This window comes from Homo sapiens, chromosome 3 (genome assembly GCF_000001405.40).
Source record: "Homo sapiens chromosome 3, GRCh38.p14 Primary Assembly".
Taxonomy (NCBI): domain Eukaryota; kingdom Metazoa; phylum Chordata; class Mammalia; order Primates; family Hominidae; genus Homo; species Homo sapiens.
Window position 1 is genome coordinate 193,439,463 of NC_000003.12, and position 18,927 is coordinate 193,458,389.

The 18,927-nt window shown below is 40.2% G+C and overlaps 1 protein-coding gene across 4 annotated transcripts in view; it reads right to left on the reverse strand.

Annotated features, from left to right (window-relative positions):
* Nucleotides 1-18,927, reverse strand: part of ATP13A4 (ATPase 13A4) — a 194,153-nt gene that overhangs the window by 40,496 nt on the left and 134,730 nt on the right. For all 4 annotated transcript variants that reach the window (XR_007095757.1, XM_047449063.1, NM_032279.4 and 1 more), the window contains 7 exons: nucleotides 17,917-18,003; nucleotides 17,538-17,691; nucleotides 14,639-14,750; nucleotides 8,744-8,868; nucleotides 2,931-3,094; nucleotides 2,004-2,126; nucleotides 1,096-1,175 (listed from right to left, as the gene is read on the reverse strand). Coding sequence is in view for 3 of the 4 variants with exons in the window: in XM_047449063.1 (XP_047305019.1) it covers nucleotides 1,096-1,175; nucleotides 2,004-2,126; nucleotides 2,931-3,094; nucleotides 8,744-8,868; nucleotides 14,639-14,750; nucleotides 17,538-17,691; nucleotides 17,917-18,003 (845 nt within the window). In the remaining variant the exon portion in view is untranslated. The remainder of the gene's footprint in view (nucleotides 1-1,095; nucleotides 1,176-2,003; nucleotides 2,127-2,930; nucleotides 3,095-8,743; nucleotides 8,869-14,638; nucleotides 14,751-17,537; nucleotides 17,692-17,916; nucleotides 18,004-18,927) is intronic.

Here is an 18,927-nt window from a genome sequence, read left to right on the forward strand (position 1 = left end):
TGCTACGAAGGGCTATGAGTATTAAATGAGGTGCTGTATGGGAAAGTACTTATAAAGTCTAAAATGATAACAAGTCATAGTTGTTTGTGCTGTTAATACTAGCATGAGAGGAAATCCATCCTGTCAACAGTCACTCAACTCAAGTATGTAATGCCAGGCCTAGAAGTTGAAGAAAGAAAACACATCCTTGTTTCAGAATGACTTTTTGAGGCTGGGTGAATACTCTCTTGAATCATTGACAAGGACTATTGAGAGCCAACTTTTTAAATTATGAGCATTCTGACAGCATTCATAAAACATGCTATACTTTTCTTCCACACTGCCATATGGAGGGAACTCGTTGACTCTCTAGGTTTCAGCCATGTTGAGAAGATAGGGCTTTCTGAGCTGAGAAGCTAGCCTGATAACGGAATCAAATGAATAGGAGGGCAGAGCAGAAACAAGTAGGAGTCGGAGTCATGTTGTTGTGACACGATGACCAAGATGGAGAAAGCCTCTGGTACTCTGTGGGGTTCTATTAACAGGAAACAAAGGGTCCTAAGCGATGGGCACTTCATTTGGACTGCCCATTCTGTCTAGGAATGGAGACCCTTTGTGTTAGAAGAGAATGATTTTTCTGATTTAGGGTGGAAAAATGCTTTGGCACACAAGTATTTTAGTATTTTTAATGTTGCATGAATCTCTTGTCATATGAATATCCCTATATCATCATTGTGATGACGGCATATACAAATAAATTCTCACTGTCCCTCCAGGAGCTGAGCTCAAGCCACCTTTCCATTCTTATTTCTCCCCACACTCTTTCAGGACCCTTAGGTTCTAGTCCAGTGGTTCTCAGCATTGAATGCAAAATTGACTTAAGTGAAAAAAAATACTGATTTTTTAAGCCCCATATAAACAACTGAATCAGGATCTCTGAATGGTGAGATCCCTTGGTACTGCTATTTTCTCCAAAGCTCCCAAGTGATTATCTCATGCAGCCGAAGTACGGACCACTGCCCTTGTCAAACTGAGTGACTCCTGGTACCTCTTCCACTCCCCCTGACTGTTATGCCTCCATGCAGTTCATGCCACCTGCACTGGCAAAGAACCTACTCCAGTTTCTGAAATTCTTCCACCAGACTGGACTTCTGCCCAGGAGACATTCTTGCAAAGATGGTCCCATTGATCAATATCTGTAAGGAACCCAAAATGGAGATTTTTTTATCAAGTCATCTGGTTGTACATGAAATAATTACTAACACTCAGAATGTTGACTGCATCATGACACTTACGATGAAGAAAAAAAAAAGTTTCCAATGAGCCTTCCTTTGGATTTTAAGACAAACATTGAGGTTTTGGTCATCAGATAAGTGATCAGTGAAAAACAAAAATCAGTAAAGATAATTACTTAACAAAAAATATTTTATGAAAATGATGACCTACAGGAATTTACCTCAGCTGTCACGGGGAATGTGGTCCTGAAAAATCTTGAGCTTAATGGAACCTTGAACTGCAAAACAGCAAAAGGTTGATCTATATATCTAAACTATCGATCTATCTCTCTCTCTCTCTCTATATATATATATCTAAAACTTACCTCCCCCGACTAAAGCTTTAAGTTTGACCCTCTTGAGTACAGAGGTCATCTATCAAAAAACTAATGGTGTTCCTTTATTCTTGGTCTGCTTTCCTGTGTAATTGCAGGGTTTCCACTATACTCTGAGACCCCTTACCATGGCAATATAGTGACAGCCACCCAAAATCATCTGTATAATTCAAGAAATCACTGATACTTCAATCCTATAGATGGTGGAAAATTGACTAATCAAGTTTATTTATTTCAAATCTAGTAGGAAATGAGACAATAGTATCTTCTGCAAAAATATCTGTCTCTCTTAAGATACAGAAAACTCACTGAGTATATTTTACCTGTCTCAAGATTTGAAATAATTTAGGACCATGTTCTGTAAGTGACATCATCAGCATTTTCATAGGGAGATTGTCACCCTCTTAGAACTTACCTTTGGCAGTAGGCTGCTGAAATGTTGACTTATAACATGAAAGGATTTTCCAGTTAGGGCAAAATGGTAACTTCCTTCTCTGCCTTTATCAGAGACTTCATCCCTGATGTTAATGTAATTGTCCTACAAAGCAAGACACAGTTATTTTAGACTCTTTCATTTGACAGAGTGGTTAGAACCATAAGCATATCTGAGAGAAGTTAATGAAGACAGACCAGGATCTATCTGTAAAAGTCACTCTGATTCCTCAGAGAAGCATTTTCTTTTTGCTGGATCAATCTTTGCACATCACAGACAACCAGTGAATAGGAGAATAACACTTACTCATGTCCTGTTTTCATCGTGATTTGATCTTGGTGAGTCCCAGAGAAGAGCACATTTCACACATATCAAGTGTAAAATACAAAAGCACTGCAGCTTAACAAATTTCTCCCTGAAATGAGAACTTACTATTTTTTTGTCCTTAGGGAACTAATATTGTTCTACAAGGACACAACAGAGATAGAATACTGACAAGACTGGAGATAAATGAATGAAACTTTTTTCTCACCCTGAAAACATAGTCTGATTTTCTGATACACAGAGCAGCATCTCTCCCAAAGACTAGATCCCCTTAGAACCCAGTGGGGTGATTGACAAGCAAGGGGAAAGGGAGAAAATAGATTCAACTCCACGCACTATATTCTTTCTCATATAGGGACAACCACTTTTTTAAGGTTAAAAGATGGATTATTTCCAGCACACAGGAAAGCACTATACCTTCAATCTCTGTATGAAAAGTATGGAAAAACCAATGTAACTGAGTTCGTTCAAAAGCATGAATGCTAGACATTTGGAAGCATATGTTGACTCTAGGTCAAAGCTGCTCAGTCACCAACACTGCAAGACACATTGATAATGTGGCAGAAGGTCTGTGTTCAGGAGTACCTGATTCCCATACATAATGTGTTTCTTCTCTTCTACTAACGTCCAAGATATAGATGCTGATGAGGACCCGGTGGTTTCATTTGCCTCAATGAGAATGACTTTCTGGCTTTCAGAAACCATTCCAGATTTTCTGGCCACTGTTATTGCAGTCTGAAGATTGTCACCTAGAGGAAAGGAGGAGTATCTCAAGATGAGGTTGACAAGATTGAATTAATTCATGCAGAGCCTTGAAAACCAGAGCAGGGAGTTCAGTCCTTATTTCAGGTATGAAGAGAAATGATCTCTGATATCTATTTCAGCCCTGACCTTCTGTGACTCCATGATCCCTTTTCTGGTTCTTACTGCTTTTCGTCAGGTTGCTTCATGATCTACCAGTGTATTTTTGCCAGACTGGGGGAAAAAATTAAAAAGCAAAATTCAAATCTATTTTCATCATTTGTTAGCAGCTTTGCAAATGTTTAGGCAAATCCTCTGGTTTAGTAGAGTATCTGGTGGTTCCACTTCCAGGCAAAATGGAGTAAACCCACTAGGATGTATCTCTCCCACTGATTACAATGGAAAACTCTGAACAAAAACCAAGAAGCAACTCCCCAAGGACTTTGAAAAGTAAACAAAAGCAGGCAGATGGTGGGAGGGAGTCAAATTTGGAGAAGCAACCTACAAGGGGATGAGTTTCTCAGCACTTTTTCTCTTCCCTATTCCATATTTGACTGGCGTGTGGGCCTCAGTTAAAAAGCTGTTTGGGCAGTAGAACTCCAAAAGACACCCAGTCTTTCTGGCCAGAAGAGCCAGGAAAAGGGACCCTTGTAGGCTAAAGGGCATGGGCGGAATCCTGGAAAGGAGAGAGCCAGACACAGGGACTAATTCAGTATATGAATTACGTAAGTCCCAAGTTCAGCCTAGAGCTGTGCGTGTGTGGACCAGATCCAAAGAAAGATAACCCCAAAAACTTCAGGAATTGAACTATGATATAAATCACCCCTCGTTTGTGAGAGTAACCTCTGAGTGAGGCAGACCCAAACATCATAGCAAAAGATTTTATATTTTAGCTAAGATTGAAACTGCCACCTACAACAGGAAAGATAGAACTTATGGTTGATTGCTAGCCCAAAACAAACAAACAAGAAAACTCTCAACATTCTCCAGAAGATTTTAACAGGATTCAAAGTTTCATAACATAATATTCAAAATGTTCGGGATATTCAATATGAAAAATCTGGAAAATCTGGTCAATTCTCAAGAAAAGCCACAACAGTTGCCAATCCATAGATAGCCTAGATGTTGGAAGTATCAGACAATGGTTTTTAAAGCAGCTATTAAAAGCCCCCTTCATGTGGTAACTGTTAATATTCTTGAAATAAGTGGAAAGACGGAAGTTCTCAACAAGAAAATATAAACTGTGGGAAAAAACCAAATGGATACTTTAGAATTAAAAAATATAATACCTGAAATTTAAAAAAATCACTGAATGTACTCAATAGCAGAATAGATCAATGGAAATTACACAACCTGAAGAGCAGAGAGAAAAAATCGTTTTAGTGAACAGACTCAAAGATACCAAAATAATTCATATTCATGTCATTAGAGTCCAAGGAGAGGAAAAAAGGTTGAAAAAGAAAAAAAAATTGACAAAATAATAGGAGAAATTTTCCCAAGTATGATAAAAGACTTAGATTTACAGATTCAAGAAGCTCAGTGAATTCCAAACAAGATAAACTTAGTGAGAATCACAACCAGACATATAGTAATCAAACTGCTAAAAATCAAAGATAAACAAAAAAAGCAGTTAGAGAAAACCACATTACATATAAGAAAACAATACTTCAAATTATCACAGATTTCCATCAAAAATATGGAGAGAAGAAAATAGTGGAACAACATCTTTGAGGTGCTGACTTCATCTTTCACTTTGAAGTGTCAACTCTGACTCCTATAGCTTCTAAAAATATTCTTCATGAATAAAGGAGAAATAAAGACTTTATCAGATGAATGAAAATTGAAGATAATTTGTTGACAGTGGACATGCTCAAAAAATAAACAACAACAAAAGCTACAGGGTTCTTCAGGTTGAAAGGAAATGATACCAGATGTTAACTTGTAACTTAAGGAATGAAAACACAGAAACAGAAATGATAATGATCTGGGTAAATATAAAAGTCTAATTTTCTTTACTCATGTTCTTTAACTCTTCCCTGTTGAAAGTAAAGACTATCACATCATCTGGTGGGGGTTTTCAACATATGTCATAGTTATGACGATAATAACATAAAGAAGAGAAAGCAAGAGACATTCCTGGTTATAAGGCTTCTTGAAAGGAGAGGTATGTATGTTGTGATGCCTAGAGCAACCATTAAAAATTAATCATATAACATCTGGCTGGCTATCCTTAACATAGCTTCTCCCAGGTTTCTACCAAACTATGTATGAAGATCCTCAAAAGAGCCGAAGTGGTAGGAAGGAGCTACCTGAGGCTGGAAGGATACAGGGAGCCCTGAGCGCTCATAGGCTTCCTCCATGCTCCACAGCAGGCCCCTGACAGCCTGTCTGCTTTTTGCCCTCTACCACCTGTCAGAGATCCAGTGTTCGGGATAAACAGCCCAGGCCTGAGCTCCAATCATCTGACAGAAAAATCTAACAACCTGTCTAAGAAATCCGAGACACTGGACAGGAAAAGATCAGGAGGAACAACCAGAGCACATGACTAGAGAAGTCAAGAAGCTGCCGGAGACAGATGAAACCTGCTTTAAAAATAAGGAGAGCACTGGCCAGGCGCAGTGGCTCACACCTGTAGTCCCAGCACTTTGGGAGGCCGAGGCACACAGATCACGAGGTCAAGAGATCAAGACAATCCTGGCCAACATGGTGAAACCCTGTCTCTACTAAAAATATAAAAATTAGCCAGGCGTTGTGTTGCGTGCCTGTAATCCCAGCTACTTGGGAGGCTGAGGCAGGAGAATCACTTGAACCCAGGAGGCGGAGGTTGCAGCGAGCCGAGATCGCACCACTGCACTCCAGCCCTGGCAAGACAGTGAGACTCTGTCTCAAAAAAATATATAAAAAATAAATAAATAAATAAAGCACTGGCTGGGCGTGGGGACTCATGCCTATAATCCCAGCACTTTGGGAGGCCAAGGTGGTAGGATCACCTGAGGTCAGAAGTTCAAGACCATCCTGGCCAACATGGTGAAACCCTATCTCTACTAAAAATACAAAAATTAGCTGGGCGTGGTGGTGCACACCTGTAGTCCCAGCTACTCGGGAGGCTGAAGCAGGAGAATCGCTTGAACCCGGGAGTCGGAGGTTGCACTGAGCCGAGATCAGGTCACTGCACTCCAGCCTGGTGACAGAGCAAGACTCTATCTCAAAAAATACAAATAAATAAAAAATAAATAAGGAGAGCACTTAAGAAAACTCAAATCCCACCCCACACACGATTTAAGAACTGAACGATTCAACTTAAGAAAACTCAAATCCCACCCCACACACAATTTAACAACTGAACGATTCAAAAGGGGATTTGAAAAAGATAATGAGCATTGTTGAGACCTGAGATTGTGGTCTGAACAAACTGGGTGCAAAAAAAAAAAAAGTCTTAAAGCAAAATTATAAAAAGATACAATCTAAAGCAAGGCAAGTGGTGCATGCCTGCAGTCCCAGTTACTAAGAAGGCTTAGGCAGGAGGATCGCTTGAGCCCAGGAGTTCAAGGCTGAAGTGAGCTATGATCCTGCCACTGCACTCTAGCCTGGACAAGAGAGCAAGACTCTGTCTCTAAAAAATAAGTAAATAAACAAACAAATAAATAAGACAACTACAAGAAAAAAGATAGACTGAGAGGATAGATAACAATGGAACTACCAGAAGTAAAAATGGAAAGACAGAGAACAGAGGCAAAAATTAAATAAACAATAGGGAAATCTTTTCTGGTAGGAAGAAAGACTAAAAAGTGCTGTCCATGTTTCTCCCACTCCGATCTCTTCTTGATTCTGGGGAAGTCTGGTTCTGATCACTGGTTTCCAGGGATTGATTCTAAGGCCTTGGGTCACAGAAAGAAGCAACAAGAAATTCTAATCAATTCAAAACTTTTTAAGTGAATGAATCATCATAAAACTGGTCCATTCAGAGGATAGAGTTGAGTCCATTAAGTTATTGTCACAAGGGGTTGCGTATTTGGTGATTCAGTTATATAAACCAATGTTCTTGCTATAAATATGATACTTTTCATAATCTGTTTTATCATATGTATAACATTCAAAGTGACAGATATTATGATGACTTAATAAATATGTCAAAAAATGGTAAAAAATAAAAATAAAAATTTTTCTAAAAGCGCTGTCCATGTTCCAGACTAAGTTAATGAAATAAGGGAAACACAAAGGCAAACATTTCTAAATTTCAAAGTTAAAAAGTTTATGTGCAGAAAAGAGTAAGTTACTTACAGTGGACTCTCACTGGACTTGTCATGAGCAATATCAGAAGCCACAAGGCAAAGGAATAGCCCCTACATACAGATCATTAAGAAAAAAGAACAATAATTCAAGAATCTTATATCTGAGCAAGATGTCATTCATGTGTCAGAGCAAAGAAAGATATTCAAGCATATGTAAGAAATCTAAGAGCACCCCTTCATTCCATCCAAGGACAATACTTCAGCGAAAAAAATTTGTAAACAAGCAAGGAAAGAAATACGGCAGAAATTTCAATATGAGAAAAGAGGAAGTAAAGAGAGAGGGTGGAGAAGGAGGAACACTTGTACATAAATCTAAGTTAAGGATAGATTATGAGAATGTGTCATCTAAGTGCTAAATAAAGATTTTTGAAACAGAAGGGTCACAGTGTAAGGGAAATCCTAACCAGTAGTAAATGAACTCAGCAACTTCAAAAAGTTGGACTGGGGTGTTAGAAAGGGAGAAAGTAAAAACAGTCCAAGATCCTCTTGGATTGTGGGGAGTAGAACAGGGGACAGAGAAGTACAAAAGAGGAAATAAAAGTATTCTAGAGTTTGCAACTGTAGAATTGGGTTCAGGTGAAATGGGAACAGAAAATGCGTGCTTTGATGGGGAAATAATGTATCTTCGTGACATAAATGATAGAGTTAAAAGCATCTGACTACAAGAGCAGGGAAAAGAAAGGCAACACACCCCAAAAATATGAACATGAATTCATTAGGAAATCATTTATTCACCTCGTCTCTTTCCCAATTAAAAAATTATAGCATCAGTGTGAAATTTCATTAATAAAGTCACACTTAATTTCATTAAGAAATTTCACACATTTCTCTTGTGTGATTTACTCTCATTGCTCTCTTGTTTGTATGATTTGGAGTTGGGATTGGGAGTAGAGAGGACATCATTTTCTTAAATTTCTAGAATCGTGGATTTTATGATTGATGGGTTTTCAGCATATTTATAGACCCCATCAACTGAGGATGCTTCTTCTTCTAGCACTTGACAATAAAAATCACCTTTGCCTGACTCATGTCTTCTTGCCATTCAGATCTTATTTCAAATGTCACATCTCGGAGAGGCATCTCTTAACCATCTCATCTAAAACAGATGGTCAAACACTTTCCTGCATTATCCTATTTGTGTACCTCAAAACGCTGATACTATTTGACTGATTGGTTGATCTTCTCTCATTCCACTCACATGGAAACTCAGGGAAAGCAGTAAATGTGCCTTTTTGTTGCCCATCTCCAGCACCTGGAATGATGTCTGGCCCAGAGTAGGTAGTCAACAACATTTATTAAATGAGTGAACCATGTCTATTTCCACATCAAATTCTTACTGTTTTCACTGTATACTTTGTTTCATACCTGTGATCATTACAGTCCTTATCCGGGCTGAGATGAGCTCTTCCAAGACAGGTTTTGTCTCTTCCTTCAATCGATTCTCCAAGATCAGCAGCCCCAGAAATATCAGGTCTGATTCTACCGTCTCCCTGAAAATACATATATAGATGTATTGAACAGAAATAACACATATTACAGCTTTTTTTTTGAGACGGAGTCTCGCTCTGTCATCCAGGCTGGAGGACAGTGGTTCAAGTCATTCTCCTGCCTCAGCTTCCCAAGTAACTGGGATTATAGGTGCCCACCACCACGCCCGGCTAATTTTTGTATTTTTAATAGATACGGGGTTTCACCATGTTGGCTAGGCTGGTCTTGAACTCCTGAATTCAAGTGATTCACCCGCCTCAGCTTCCCAAAGTGCTGGAATTACAGGCGTGAGCCACTGCACCCAGCCACATTATAGCTTTCTTACAGGAAGTAAAACAAAAAGAAAAAGACCCCTGTCATAGTGGTTCCATTCACTCATTCAAGCACTGTTAGGGGCTGATTAGGGACTGGGAGTGATCCAGAAAGAGAACAGAAGCGGACACAAAGGCTCTGGAGATGTTTAACTCTAACTGAATGAAGAGGAAGAGGAAGAGAGTGTTCATTAAGCAAAAGCTTTGCTTTAACCTTTGCAGAAAATGAGCTGAAAGCCTGTAAGGGTCTCCTCCATCTGTTGTGGCTAGCCTGATTTTCATTGCCTCACCTGTTACCCACAAAGGGGAGTTTTAGTTCTGGCACAAAGCATGAAAAAAAACGGAGGTGCAAAGAAAAATAAAATAAAATGCCAGTTTCTCCAGCAGGCAAGTCTATAATCAATATTATTTTAGCCCCAGGAGATATGAGGTCATAATCTCAACAAACAGGCCTCTCTATTCAGGTAAAGCTCATCCCTTTCTTTCTCCACCAGCTGGTAGCAATGATCTTCTGTATCAAGCGTGAATGTTTCTGCAAATAGGTGCAGCCTTCAAGGCTCCTATCCACCCCAAGAATATTTTCAGGGATATTCTACAGAACTGAGTGCAGGGAATACATTCAGGATCAGGAGTTCAAAGATTCTTCCATCATTTATTTATCTTAGACACAGATCGAGAACAAGACACCAGCACTGCCTAACTCTGGCTGAAATACAGATGAAAGTGGCACCCACTCAGACTCCTTGCCTGTCTCAATAGTGGGTCTCACATCAGCTACAGTCATGAACTAGCGTTAGTGATGCTCCCAGGAAACTGCTAAAGCCTCCATGGAGCCACAGGAAGTGGACACAGTTTGAACTACTCACCTCAGAGCAGGCTTGAAAGAATGGCACTTCCCATTTTCTGAATCTATCATTTAAATCCCTCTATGATCTGGTTCCAAATTATCTTTCCAGCTTCAGCTATCACTAAACTCCTCACCCACCCTCATTTCCAGCCAAGTTGAACCACTAGCCATGGGTTTTCTGTCTACTTAACCATCTCTAGACATTTGCTTTAGACTGCTGTAAGACATTTGTCCTTACTTCATAGAAAAGGTTGTAATTTCCCCATGATCTGCTATTGAAACCCTCCCAATGTTCTGAGCCTTATACCACGTCCCCCACAAAGGCTCCCTCAGATAGAAATCATTGCTCCCAGACAGACGTGGTGGCTCATGCCTGTAATCCCAGCACTTTGGGAGGCCGAGGTGGACGGATCACCTGAGGTCGGGAGTTCGAGACGAGCCTGACCAACATGGAGAAATCCCATCCCTACTAAAAATACAACATTAGTTGGGCATGGTGCCAGGCGCCTGTAATCCCAGCTACTCGGGAGGCTGAGGCAGGAGAATTGCTTGAAGCCAGGAGGTGGAGTGAGCTGAGATCACACCATTGCACTTCAGCCTGGGCAACAAAAATGAAACCTGTCTCACAAAAAAAAAAAAAAGAAAAGAAAAAGAAAAGGAATAATTGCTCCCTTGTCATATTACTTATATTTCACTGTAACTCACATTTTATTTGCCCATGTTTTATTCTTGGGCTTCTGCTTTGTCACACTGTCTCAGCTCCTTGGGAACAATCCCACCTGATTCAATGCTGTGCTCAACACCACTCATGCGGTGCCCAACACACAGCAAGTGCTCAGCAAATGTGTGCCTAGTTGAAATGCTCTGAGGCCTGTTGGGACCATTTTTTGCCAGGTAATCTATGGAAATTCCTCATCCAGAAATTTTACTGAGTTCAAGGAACAGCACTGAGAAAAAGTGGCAGAGAATATGCAGAGACTGTAGTAGCAGAGACTGGGAAAAGTATTAAAACAGATGTCCAAATCCGAGTCCCATGGAGTCAGAGAGGAGGGTGCTCTCATTTCTGGGTGGAGTGATTGGAGAAGGCTTGCTGTAGAAGATGATATTTAATCTGGGGTTTGAAGGATAACTTGGTTGATGCCTGATTGAGGGCTTATAGGGTAAATGCACCTGATAGCAATAACTACTTAGCATACCCTTAGAATGAACCTCTATGGCAGACGCACCTAAATGTATGTTCCAAGCTAGGAAATCTGGCCGTGGCCAACCCGGAGATCTGTTCCTTGTCTCTGAGGAACTTCTGAGCCCCCGTCCCATCTAGTGGAAGATGTGCCAGGCCATAAAGGGAGCTGAGGCCCTGAGTTGTGAGGTGGATGAAGGTTGCTGGGTGGAGGTCATTAAGGAGTCAAGTGAAAACACTATACAAACTGCATGATGTTTGCAGGCAGCAGCGGTTTTCCTGCACAGCTCACCACCACTGGAGTATAGGAAGGCAGATATGTTGTCCACTTTGCTGCCACTGGACTGTTTCTATATGTAAGGTGGTTCTCCTGTCCAGCCGGCTGTTACGGGACTCTCTCCCCTGTAGGTGAGCCCCTAATAAAACCCCATGCCTCCTTTGCTGGCTCTGGGTCTCTTCTTCAGCCTCTTGAACCTGGTGCCTTCCCTATTGAAGTGCATGGGGGTTTGGCACAATAGGTCTTCCAATCTTTCTCATGGTCCTGGTACTCAGGCCCCAGGCCTTGGTTATTTCTGCAGAAGACATGACCTGAGCCAACCACAAAGTGCCAGATTAGGCCAAGAAAATGGCTGCAGGGTCAAACATCTGCCATAGCCTATAGCCTACATTGGCACTAGTATTTCTAGTTCCTCTGGCTTATGGCCTTTGTATGGTTCAAGGCACAATAATCAGGAGGCTGGAGTTCTAATGTCAGCCCTACCACTGCCTTGCTGTGTGAGCATGACTAAATCACTCTCTTTGGCTGGTAAACAAGTTCTTCCTTTCATGAGCATTTAATCTGAACCAAAAAAATTAAAAGGAGTAATTCCTTAAGGGGTCTTAAGCCCTGAAACTTGGAATGGCTTTCTATCTCTTCTGGCTTCCTGCACAGATATTATGCCTCCTCCTGAAGTATCTAAAAATAATAAAGAATGATAAGTGTAATATATAGAAAGCATTGTCATCCCTGTGATTACATCTCATGTTCTTAAAATCCATGTGACTTTTAAAGGATGAAATATGCATGAAGTGGGCCAATAACCTTTGAAGAGATTATGATACCAATGCTGGAAGCACCCTGAGTAACCACACAGAAAAAAACCCCAAAACAACAGCAAGAATGTTCCATCCTAATCAGGAGTTCACAAAGGATCATTAAATTAATTTAGCTGTGTGTATGCATGGTGCTGATGTGCTTTAAGACAGGAGAGGCAGATTGATGACCTGAGATCAAATCCTAGTTGAGAATTTGTGATTTGTGTTTAGACCATACAAGATTTTAAGAAGTTAGAATTTCAGTACCTTTAACCAGGACATGTCCTCTCCTGCGCGCCACAGCCCTCACTATTCCCCATTGCTCATGTGTCTCCACAGTAAGTGCTTTGTTACGTGCATGCATTTCAAAGCCATGAGTTTGCAACTTGTAATATGCAAATATCATATTATGACAATGAGAAGCAGCAGCATGGTAGCCAGACTCTTACCATAGCCCTTGGCAACAGCCTGTCAGGAAACCAAGTTCCATTCCCAATTCTGCTCTGTCCCTTCCCTTCCCTGGACGCAAGTTGCCTCTCCTTCAAAATGTGATATCCAATCTCAAAGTTTACTTTTAGCTCCCTTACTTGAGTGACCCTGAACTAAGTTGATCAAATTACAACAAATATACAGAATTGTAGTAGCCAGAGTTTCAGGGGTAGCATGAAACTGGACCCCCAGGAAGAATGGTCCAACAAGCCCAGGAAACAAACACAATGAGCCACTTCCCACAGTGGGCTTCATTTTACCCATCACAAAGTGAGAGAGTTGGGTCACAGCAGTCCTTCTAAGCAGAAACAGTCCTCCCTCTAGAGGACATTGTGGAATTTTTTTTTTTTTTTTTTTTTTGCATCTATGCAAGACTTTCTGCAAAGACCAATGCACAATGAATAATTATCCTGCATCACACATGTCTTTTGAATATCCTACTGGACATTCATGAACACTGAAAAAAGTTATTATACTTTTCTAAGTATAATAATATACTTTAGGCTTATACTGTATATATTTTACTATTATTATAGAATATACTGTACTATTATTATATATATAATATTATCTTATATTAAACAATTACAAAATTGTTTATTAAAATTTTCCTAGTTTATATGTGTTACATATAAACACAAAGTATTTTTCACACTTATATTCTTTTGAATTTTGCAGAAATGTAACTACCTGTACTATATAAATTGGGAGGAGATTGTACTGTTTTTTTCAGAGTTTTACCAAGACTTGTTAACCACTTCACAGTCACCTTACTGGCGGCAAGACTGAGGTATTTGAGTCTGCAATACATAACACACCTGTATCAGTCTGTATTTGTAGATGTTGCAGCCTCAATTATTCTATACACAGGTACAAGCAACTTGTTACTTCATTTTGTGTTAGTGGAGTCAGCTGAGCATTTATTAAACTATCACCTGTGTGAAACATTATATGTTTTGCTTTCATTCTTACTATATAATGGGTTATTATATATTTTTACAAAGAATATGTGCAGATAATATGTGAATTTTATTTTAGAATATTGAGTTCAAAAATATAGTTACAAGAGAGTGTTGACTCTGATTAGATTGAAACAAATAGGTTAGACTTCCCAAATGTAAAATCCTAAATTTAAAAATGAGCCTAGATTAGCTCCGTAACAGCATAAGCAGTGGTGGCTGACATTAAGTGTTAGAAATGACATGAAAGGTGAAATAAACATGATACCTGAAAAGAGTGGAATTAAAAAAAATAAAATTGAACTCATAAATACTGCAGTTTTGGAGCTGTTACGCATCTCTATTTTAATCCTAAAATGTAAAATTTAATCTATAGGTTAAAATCTTTCTCTAGTATGGCACCTCAGAAGTTTTCCTTGTTTTTTTTGTAGATGTCACCAAGATTATATCATCTAAGCTGTATTTATTTGTTTCATTAAGCTGTGTATTTCCAATCAAAAATTTTTTCTGGTAAATGTTATGTTTCATAATTCCCAACCAATCCACCAACTATAATTTTTTTTAAATGGGGGCATGACCACAATTTCAAATTCTGAAACGCTGATTATATTTCTATGTCTGTTTTCACAAAGCTGTAAAAATCACATCATATTAAACATCTTATATGACTATTTCTCATAAAATCCCCCAGTGAGTGTTCACACTATCTTTGGGATTTAGGCAGGGCAGGGATTACTATATCCCTATTTACCAGTGTTCAGAGACATGTTATGCACACAAATTCAGCAAGCTACATTGCTCTGTCCACCACCCAGAACCCCTAAGTCCATCCCAGTCTAATGCACTTGACATTCCAACCTGGTACATCTTTCCATCAAACCTTTCTGCTTTATCAAAATCATCCCCATTTACCTCGTCAAGGTAGTAGCGTGATGGTCATTTTCCAGCTTCTTGTAGGCCAGTGCTATGACTCGGAAGCCCTGTGTCGTGTAAATCTGAAGTTCGCTAACAAAACTAGTGGGTACTGTTTAGAAAGAAACACAGGGTTAGTACGCAGTTATTTGCTTAGGCAGTACTGGCAAAGAAATTCTTTACAAACATCCAACTTTTGCCCAAGAAAACACACTTCTACAAAGATATGTAAACAAGTCAGTTGAAAATTCTAAACATAACTACATTGTCAGGGTTGACCTCTTCAGATGTAGTGAAGCTAAAATGAGAAGGAAGCATTTGAAAAACTTAAAAAAAAGATAGGAAAAGTGTAAAATTCTTTTTTCTTCAATTTAACCAACAAACATTTATTGAGAATCTACCATCTGGCAGGCATTGGCTATGCAGAGAATAAATCACAAGCTCTACACCCAGAAATAAGACTTTACACCTACAACTATCAGATCTTTGACAAACCTGACAAAAATAAGCATGGGGAAAGGCTTTCCCATTCAATAAATTGTCCTGAAATAACTGGCTAACTGTATGCAGAAGACTGAAACTGGACCCCTTCCTTACACCATATACAAAAACTAACTTAACATGGATTGACGACTTTTAAAACCTAAAACTATAAAAGCCTGGAAGACAGCCTAGGCAATACCATTCTGGATATAGGCACAGGCAAAGATTTCATGACAAAGATGCCAAAAACAATTGCAACAAAAGCAAAAATTGACAAATGGGATCCAATTAAACTAAAGAGCTTCTGCACAGCAAAAGAAACTGTCAAAGAGTAAACATACAGCCTACAGAACAGGGGAAAATTTTTGCAAACTATGCATCCAACAAAGGTCTAATATCCAGCATCTATAAGGAACTTAAAGAACATTTACAAAAAGAAAAAAACAAACAACCTCATTAAAAAGTGGGCAAAGGGCCGGGTGTGGTGGCTCAAGCCTGTAATCCCAGCACTTTGGGAGGCCGAGGTGGGCGGATTATGAGGTCAGGAAATCGAGACCATCCTGGCTAACACGGTGAAACCCCGTCTCTACTAAAAATACAAAAAAAAATTAGCCGGGCGAGGTGGCGGGAGCCCGTAGTCCCAACTACTAGGAGGGCTGAGGCAGGAGAATGGCGTGAACCCGGGAGGCGGAGCTTGCAGTGAGCCGAGATTGCGCCACTGCACTCCAGCCTGGGCAACAGAGCGAGACTCCGTCTCAAAAAAAAAAAAAAAAAAAAAAAGTAGGCAAAGGACATGAACGCTTTTCAAAAGAAGACGTACATAAGACCAACAATCACACACACACACAAAAGCTCAACATCATTGATCATTAAAGAAATGCAAATCAAAACCACAGTGAGATACCATCTCAAACCAGTCAGAATGGTGATCATTAAAAAGTCAAAAAACAGCAGATGCTGGTGAGGTTGTAGAGAGAAAGAAGTGCTTATACACTGTTGGTGGGAGTGTAAATTAGTTAAACCACTGTGGAAGAAAACACAGTGATACCCCAAAGTCCTAAAGACAGAAATACCATTCAGCCCAGAAATCCCATTACTGGGTATATAGCCAAAGACAGGTAAATCATTGCATTATAAAGATGCACATGCATATATATGTTTATTGCAGCACTATTCACAATAGCAAAGACATGGAATCAACCTAAATGCCCATCAATGGTAGACTGGATAAAGAAAATGTGGTACATATACATGATGGAATACTAGGCAGCCATAAAAAAGAATGAGATCATGTCCTTTGCAGAGACCTGGATGGAGCTGGAGGTCATTATCCTTAGCAAGCTAACATAGGAACATAAAACCAAACTTATATGTGGGAGCTAAATAATGAGAACACATGGACATAGGGGGGAACAACACATACTGGGGCCTGTTGTAGGGTGGAGGGTGGCAGGAGGGAGAGGATCAGGAAAAATAACGAATGGGTACTAGGCTTAATACCTGGACAGTGAATTAATCTGTACAAGAAACCCCCATGACACAAGTTTACCTATGTAACAAACCTGCACATGTACCACTGAACTTAAAATATAGGTTAAAAAAAGGAGTGAAATTGAAAAAAACTCACAAGTTCTGCTCTAAGGATTTCTGTCTAATTGAGTTACAGCCAGCAGACTAACAATGCAATCAAATGAGATCATTGCTATGATCCATGCCACTGCAGCATGCTATGGAAAGCGTTTGGTGGTGTACATACCAGCCTGGGAGGAGGTGGTTCAGTAAAGGAAGGATTCTGGGGCTGAGGGAGAATCATGAGCTTAGGCATGGAGGCATGAGAGTAAGCTGTGAAGACTTAGTTCAGCTCAGGAAAAGCACAGGATGAGGAGTGGTAAGGCCCATCTGGAAAGTTCACTGGGAGTTCAAACCTGAAAGCCTTATATATGATCCTAAAGAAATTTGAGATTATACTGGAGCCTATGAGAGCAACTAAAATAATCGTGAGGTAAAAAATCTGGTCACAGTACAGAGGGCAAATCAAAGTTGAGGAGACTGGAGGCAGAGGGTCAATCCACCAACTATTGAAGTGATGAAGAATGATGAAAGCATGAGCAGGTGCAGAGAAGGACCATGGACTAGCAACTGATGAGACAGAGGCACTAAGGGGGAGTGAGAAATCAGAGATGACACGTAAATGGGGTGGTGGCGGGGGATGGTGGTACCGTGCACCAAAATAGGAAACTGGGAAATACAGGAAATGAGAAAGACACGCTTGGTTTTCGTATTGAATTTGGAATGCCAGTGAGCCACCCAATTGGTGATGACCCATAGGCGATTGAATTAATAGATCAAATGCAGTGGGAACATATTTATCTGGAGATACAGATTTGCCAGGTGTAATCCAAGTCAAGTTACAGACCTGTCTCAGGTTGGCAAAAGCTGGCCACCCTCTCTGGTGCACCTTTCATGAATGCCAGTCGGTCACCTCCCATCTCTTGGACAATGACTGTCATTCTTTGCAGTGCCGATGAGAATGGGAACTGATGCAGGATTGCAATTCCTTCCACTGGGACCTGGTTGAGGGATGGGGAAAGGAGAGGAACATGCTGATACAGCTTCTAGCTACTGGGAATTAACCACTCCTTCCGTAATATTCATTTTAACAAATAAGGGGGAAGGTCTCACCCATTTTCACACCTGAAATTCAAAGACACATCTGTGACCTTTCAAAAACTGGGGGCCAGAAGAGTTTCTCTTTGAGTTTGGGTGTTGTGGGGTGAAGAGCAAGCAGGGCTTACCTGGCTGGCTGTTCTGCAGGGCTTAACTACCATGGCATGTGCCGGCACTCCCTTGATGTGGAAATCGTCCCCAGAAAAAGCCATTTCCTATTTCACAAATAGGATATTTCATTGCAGAGATTTATTTATTGTTTGCCCACTGATGCTATGCTTGAACCCTCCCCTTGAGAAGATCCTCAGACCACCTCAATGTGTTTTCCGTGTCTCTTCCCTCAGAGGTGAACCAGATTTATTCCGCCACAGAAAAAAAGAATGCATTGAAAATGCTGCACAACTTGAAGGGCAGACACTTTTGAATTATTCATGCAATTTATCTTGTTTTCTCTGTTGGAATGTGCTGTGTAAAGGCTCAGTCTCCATTTCTGAAGAGCCTAGCTTGAAAGCCATGCACATGAAGGGCCAGACTTCTTTTGTGTGAAGCAAGCACCTTTCTGTCGTTCTTTTCCTGCACTTCACGGCTCTTCCTGCCCTTGCATGTGTGTCTAATTTGGATGGATGGTTCTCAGGGCTGGGGTAGGGCAGGGCAGAGACTGTGATATACATGGTTAATAATCAGTAATTGCTATAATAATGACCCTAAATTATAGTCAAAGGGACCTTTTACCCAAAGACAACACAGTGCTTTGTAATCATCTCACTGAGTGGCTGACAAGGTCCCAGAGAGAAAACTGCAATCCCTATTTAAAGATATGGAATCAGTAACCCAGAAAAGATGGAGGATTGGCAAAGTTATATTAGATTGCTATGAAATAATGCTCCAGGAGATTTGGAAGGGACCCTGAAGATTGTCTCTTTCAGTGGTGCTCAAAGTGTGCCACCAGAGGCGAGAGCTATATGCAGCTCAGGAGAAAGGAAGGGATTATAGCTAAGTAGTCAGGGATGCAGGTCCCTTAGTCCTCATCTTTAGATCCCACCTTTTATTTCAACTGGAGTAACTCCAGCTATTTAGTCTTTAGAGTGTTTCTGGAGAACGTTTCCTTTTACGAGAAGATTCCAGATTGTTTGTCTTGT